Source organism: Homo sapiens, chromosome 14 (assembly GCF_000001405.40).
Source record: "Homo sapiens chromosome 14, GRCh38.p14 Primary Assembly".
Taxonomy (NCBI): Eukaryota; Metazoa; Chordata; class Mammalia; order Primates; family Hominidae; genus Homo; species Homo sapiens.
This window is the reverse complement of record NC_000014.9, coordinates 20,642,556-20,649,237: the sequence shown is the minus strand read 5'-3', so window position 1 is coordinate 20,649,237 and position 6,682 is coordinate 20,642,556. Positions and strand designations below refer to the sequence as shown.

General features: G+C 42.5%; 1 annotated feature.

Moving 5' to 3' along the window:
- Positions 5,925-6,610: an enhancer, noted in NCBI's record as "NANOG-H3K4me1 hESC enhancer chr14:21110787-21111472 (GRCh37/hg19 assembly coordinates)". NCBI's record gives its function as "activates a minimal SCP1, AML or CMV promoter by ChIP-STARR-seq in naive H9 embryonic stem cells {active_cell/tissue: H9 hESC(naive)}" and the evidence as "EXISTENCE:reporter gene assay evidence [ECO:0000049][PMID:30033119]".

Genomic DNA, 6,682 nt, shown 5'->3' with positions numbered 1-6,682 from the left:
GGGATATCAAATTTCCAGCCTCTAGAATGGTGAGAAACAAATGTTTGTTGTTTACCTATTTATGGTAATTTGTTATAGCAGCCTGAACAAAGACATCCTCTTACTACGAGACTTGGTAATAGCACTCTGTCTTGTTTTCCTATGTGTTAAAAAAGAAAAAGAAAAAGGAAGAAAAGGAAAAAAGGTTAAGTTTTATATTAAAGAATTTGTCATAATGAAAAAGATAGGTTCTGAAATCTGTTAACTCAATCAAATCTCCATAGGCCCAGCACGGTAGCTCATGTCTGTGGTACCAGCATTTTGGGAGGCTGAGGCAGTGGATCACTTGAGGTCAGGAGATTGAGACCAGCCTGGCCAACATGGTGAAACCCCCTCTCTACTAAAAATACAAAAATTAGCCGGTCCTGGTGGCTCATGCCTGTAATCCCAGCTACTCACGAGGCTGAGGCAAGAGAATCGCTTGAACCCGGGAGGCGAAGGCTGCAGTGAGCCGAGATAGCGCCGCTGCACTCCAGCCTGGGTGACAGAGGGAGACTCAACCTCAAAGAAAAACAAAAAAAACAAAAACAAAAAAACTTATTCTAGACTGTGATTCTGTGTTTATGTGTGTTTCTATATTGCCTCCACTCCTTTTGAACCAGAAGGCAGGTTGTTGCTGAGAAAGTTAAGTTCCTCTTGGAATTGGTAGTTCATTATAGTTTTACATTTTCTGGCTCTGAGTAGCCCACATGGTATTTGACATTCTCCAGTGGCTGGCTGGTTAATTTTGTGGAACTAGAGTTTCCATATTCAGGGAAGTATTTCACACCTTTATTAATTTTTAACTGGGAAAATCGTATTCTAAAAATTTAGAGTTTTCTTGAAATAGATGCTTGATTTTCACTACATATTTCTGAGGCTTTTTATTATGAAACATTTCAAACATATTAAAAATAGAGAGAATAGTATAATGAACCACAGTTATAGCTGACATATAGCTCCATGAATTCCCAGTTCATGGCCAAGAAAGTTTTATCTATAGCCCTCACTTTATTTTGAAGAAAATTCCAGATATCATTTCATTTTACTTTAGCTCATTTTTATTTACAAAGTGTCAATTAGATTTTTTGATACAGTTTCCATTACAATATGATTTTTACTTGTAAGGAAAATTGAAGCTAAAGAGATATCAAACAATGATTAAAGCAGACATGTAATTCAAGAATGTTGCAACTCATTCATTCAATAGATGTGTCATTCTAGTAGTCTTCTTGGTTTATACATTTTTCTTTTGTTCTTTATTTTCTGACAGGGAAGGTTTTCCAGGGGAAAAGAAGAAACAAGGTGCAGAACTGTGTAAGAAAGTGTCAAGTAAATAAGTAAACATTTAGTTATTTCCTTGTTTATACACAAAAAACACTGGAAGGAGGCCAATGAACTAATGAAAATGGTTAATTAGGCGAGGGGGATGGGGTGAATAGGAATGTGGGGGACTAGAACTTTTCAATTTATACATTTTTATTTTTGAACCATGTGAGTATGCTTTAAAAATAAATACAATTTTTTCTTCTAACATGGTTTACTTTCATTAAAAAAAACTAGGAAATTCCTATGATCAAGTTAGTTTGAAAGTATTATAAGTGGTCGGTTGCGGTGGCTGATGCCTGTAATCCCAGCACTTTGGGAGGCCGAGGCGGACGGATCACTTGAGGCCAGGAGTTGAGACTGGCCTGGTCAACATGGTGAAACCCTGTCTCTACTAAAACTCCAAAAATTAGCTGGGCGTGGTGGCAGACACCTATAATCCCAGCAACTCGGGAGGTTGAGGCAGGAGAATCACTTGAACCCGGAAGACGGAGGTAGCAGTGAGCCGAAAGTGTTCCACTGCACTCTAGCCTGGGCGGCAACAGAGCAAAAACACTGTATCAAAAAAAAGAAAAAGTATTATAAGCTAAATACCAAAGCCAATGTCAACTGGTCAAATAGCGTTTTTTGTTTTGTTTTGTTTTGTTTTGTTTTGTTTTGTTTTTGATACAGAGTCTTGCTCTGGAGTGTAGTGGCACTATCTTGGCTCACTGCAACCTCCACCTTCCAGGCTCAAGCCATCCTCCTACCTCAGTCTCCCTAGTACTTGGGAATACAGGTGGGCACCACCAGGCCCAGCTAATTTTTGTATTTTTAGTAGAGATGAGGTTTCGCCATATTGGCCAGGCTAGTCTCAAACTCCTGGCCTCTGGTGATCCACCAGCCTTGGCCTCCCAAAGTGCTGGGATTACAGGCCTGAGCCACTGAGCCCAGCCTGTGTGCTTGTTTGTTTTAAACAAATTGTCTGTCTTTGATCTCATCTATTTCTGCAGTTTCCTTAGTCCTTAAGATTTGATTAAGGTTTAAAAACACGTGTGGCTTGGCCGGGCGTAGTGGCTCATGCCTGTAATCCCAGCGCTTTGGGAGGCCGAGGCAGTGGATCACCTGAGATCAGGAGTTCAAGACCAGCCTGGCCACCATGGTGAAACCCCGTCTCTACTAAAAATACAAAAATTAGCCGCGTGTGGTGGCAGGCGCCTGTAGTCCCAGCTACTCAGGAGGCTGAGGCAGGAGAATTGCTTGAACCCGGGAGGTGAAGGTTGTGGTGAACCGAGATCGCACCACTGCACTCCAGCCTGGGTGACAGGGCAAGACTCTGTCTCAAAAAAACAAAACAAAACAAAAAAAAAGTGTGGCTTAAATGTGCTTTACTAGTTCTTAGACTTCATGGGTCTCTTTTTCAGACCTCTCCTTCCCTCAGCTTAACAAACAGGAGTTGCAGTTTCTAGTTTAGTTTGTTGTTGTTTGGCTTAGCTCAGCCAGTTTCTCCCTGTCTTTGCTCTCACTCCTTTAGAGTCTAGTGATGACACTTCTCATGCTTCATTCCCTTTAGATATTTTCTTTTTTCTAGAAAGGAGTATGTCTAGAAAGGATGTAATTTAGCTAAACTAGTTCCCAGGAGCCCTGTGCACTCCTCCTCTAGTTCAAAACTTAATTGGTGCTCATCTGACAAGGGCAGCTGCTCCTCAAGTCTGGGGTTCAGAGCAGTCTAGTTCACATGCCATTTGTCAAGCACCTAGTATGTGCCAGGCACTGTGATTGGTGCTAGAAATACAGAGATGAAAATATTCCTGCCGTAGGAATTTAAAGTCTAGCAGGGGATACAGACAGAAAAGCAACGTTATAATACAACGGACTACATATTAAGATTGAGATCAACAGAACCTGCCATACCTCAGGTGGGAGAGTGAGTAGGGTGGTAAGACTAAGGATGGGGGGTAGGGGAAGCTGTCTCAGAAGACCGGATGTGCACTAGACTCAACTGAGTCTTAGGACATGAATAGGAACAGTCAAGATTTTAGTCAGGGCCATAGAATGGACACAAATGGGAAAAATGTGATCAATGGCCCAGAATTCTGAATAATGCTTTGGGTATGTGGAACATATATATTATATTACCACTAGGAGATAAGCAGCAAGGCTGGGAGAAGCAGTGGAATTAGCTAGAGATGAAACTGGGAAATTTCCCTTATCTTGTCAAGCTCATGGGACTCCCATCATTTCCTAACCCCAAAGCCAGGGGAGGGATTCCCAATATCATTTTAAGTCATCAGGGAGAAAACACAGTGTCTGTGTTACTTGGGATGTAAACATCTCCCCTGGGTGTCATGCAGGAGAAGGGTGGATGATGGTCATAGCCTTCTGTGGTTGATCAAGCTCTATCCTCTTCTTCATTCTCATCGTTAATGCTCCTAAATTTTTGCAGTGACCTGGTTTGATGTAGTTGACAGACAAATGCAGAAATATTCCCAATCACCCTTTCTTGAACAAAGGGTAAGCTTTTTTTTTTTTTTTTTAACAGAGTCTAGGAAATTTCCATTGAATGGCAAATCTCCCCTGGGTCTTTTAGGATTTTTTTTTTCTTTCTCTACGGTCTTACTTTCTCGCCACCTGGTTAACCTCTCTCCAAAAAGCACTGCTGCTAGCTGGGCTCCTGATGTCCAGATTAATTCTGATGCCCAGATTAGTTCTCATCTGAAGATATCTCCATTGGAAACTAAAGTTATGCATGAAGGATCCCACCCTTCAGTAGAGAGATTAGTTAGAAACCAGAGACTTCAGCCTTCTCCCTCCCTGCCCTCAGGCTAATACCAGGAGTCAGGGAAGGTAGGGATCTAAAAGAAGAAAACTGATGCTTTGTACAAAAGTTCTATTAGCAGAAAAAAGTGAAGACATGGCTTTAAGTGGAACATTTTTCCACAACTAGAGATGAAACGAACTACATAAGTGGGCTAAGTCTTTTCAAAAATAGGAGGTAAATGGTGTAACCCCTCCATATGTACCCCTTGCCTTCTAGCCCCATGTTGTTTTTGTAGTAACATTTCTTGTGAGATAATTGTCTTTCACTTGTGAGATAATTGAGATAATTGTCTTTCACTTGAATTACGCCTGTGGAAATCTAAGACAGTGGTCACATTGCGGAAGGCATTCTTTCTACAGGGAGGGAAGGGTGGGTCCTGATGGCTTGCTCATGGCCATAAGAAAGGCAGCATGACACATCCTCCTCAGGATTAGAAAGCCCCCTTGTTCACAAGGCAGAATGACAACATGAGAGGAAAGCCCAGGAGAAGAAGGAGATTATCCAATTTCTCCTTGTTTTCCCAAGTGCTTTTCCCATCCTCCCCAACTCCAAGGATGTGAGCCTATTGTCAGCCTTACGGTACAGGGTGTGGCAAGGACTCTCAGATGGAACAGGACCTTGAATCATAAAAAGGGGAAAAATTTTTTTTCAGGGTGACCCCCACCCTCGTGGAAACAACAAGTACATTCAGGAGGAGGTAGGAGGAATCCCTTCCATATTCAGAGTTGGTAACTCATCTTCCTGTCACTTAAGATATAGTTTAGGTTCAGCTCAATGGTGGATTTTCACAGGGAGCAACAGAGTGCCAGACGGAGTCCCCTTTGGGGTGACCAGTCTCATCTGTTTATATTCCACCCATTATGTTCTGTGCTGTAGCCCAAAGGTACTGTGTTCACACACTGCTCTTTTCCACTGAAGATGCCTCCTTCTCTCTATCAAATGCATACTCATTTTCTAGTACTTATTTCAGGCATTGCCTGTCTCCAGAATACCGCCTGTCTCTCTGATTTTCAGTTTGGTCCCTTTTCTGTTTCCCTTTGGTATCCTATACTTCCCTGCAACATTCTACCTGTCACACATCTTAATTTTTCTGTCATTCTTAGTGGGCAGTGAGCTACATGAGGGTAGTGACAATGTCTTCTATCTCTAAATCTCCAAGTACAGCAGCATCTGGTACATAATGAATATGAAGCAAAAGTCGAATGACTTTACCGACAACAAGCAATTTCTATAGAAGCTGGAGGGAGGGGAGACTGAATGAATCCTCAGGGAGAAAGATCACAGAACTGCTTTATCCTAGAAAAAAGCTCCAGATATTTTCCTGTCTGGACCTGCGGGACCCACAGGAGAGAAATTGTAAGTAAAGAGTCTAATGCTTGCTGAGAATAAAGACTGTCGGGGTATGCTGGAGAACAATAAGGTTGGCTGGGGATGGTGGCTAACACCAGTAATCCTAGCACTTTGGGAGGCCGAGGAGAGGCAGATCACTTGAGGCCAGGAGTTCAAGACTAGCCAGGCCACCATGGCAAAACCCTGTCTCTACTAAAAATACAAAAATTACCCGGGTGTGGTGGCATGTGCCTGTAGTCCCAGCTGCTTAGGAGGCTGAGGCAGGAAAATCGCTTGAACTCAGGAGGTGGGGTTGCAGTGAGCCAAGATTGTGCCACTGCATTCCAGCCTGGGCAACAGAGTGAGACTCCATCTCAACAACAACAACAAAAGAGAACAATAGGGCTGACAGAGAACCAAGGGTCTTAAGATCAGTTCTTATGTTTTGCATGGCTAAAGGTATAAGAATTAAAGAAAGAGGAAAGAAACATGAAAGGTGGCTTGCTAGTCAAGACAGGTTCATTTTAGAGAGAAAACAAACCTGGGAGGAGAAAACAAACCTGAGAGGAACTTCTGGCCAAGCTAGGTCAGAGGCACACTCTCTTACAGACTAGGAGTTTTTAAGGATTCAGGGTGGGAGAGTTTATCAGAGGCTTGGACTGCTTCTGTGTCTCTTTGTTGTGCTTATCTGGGAGGGAGAGTTTTGTGTCTGTTCCCATAATCTTTCTGTAGCTGCAGGCATACTCCCATTCAGCTTCCCTATCTTAGTGCACCTGAAGGGAAAGAAAGGTGCTTATTAAGGCCCATCGTTTTACTGGGGCCCATTGTATGATGGTGAAGTTTGGCGGTTACCCAAAAGAATTTCCCCTCACCTCCCTCTGTGCCCGAGCTGTCTTATCTGTGTTTTACTGTCTGCTCTTTCTGGCTGCCTGTAGTTAGAAGAGAAGTGATTTCTTTGAAATGCATGAGGCTAGAAAGGGAGCTGAAACTTAAAGTGGCAGTGTTTGTCCAAGACGATGGTGCTCCTGCTCTGTCAAAAGGGAGTAAGGATTCTCCTGATACCTGAGGCATTTTTAAACAAGCTTTCTGGATATAATGGACTTGATTTTTCTAACTGGTGGTGGTCCTCAGAACTGGGAGGACTTGAAGCAAAGAATAAGAATCAAAGAATAAGAACATAATTTTTTATTAATAGTTGCGGTCAGAAAT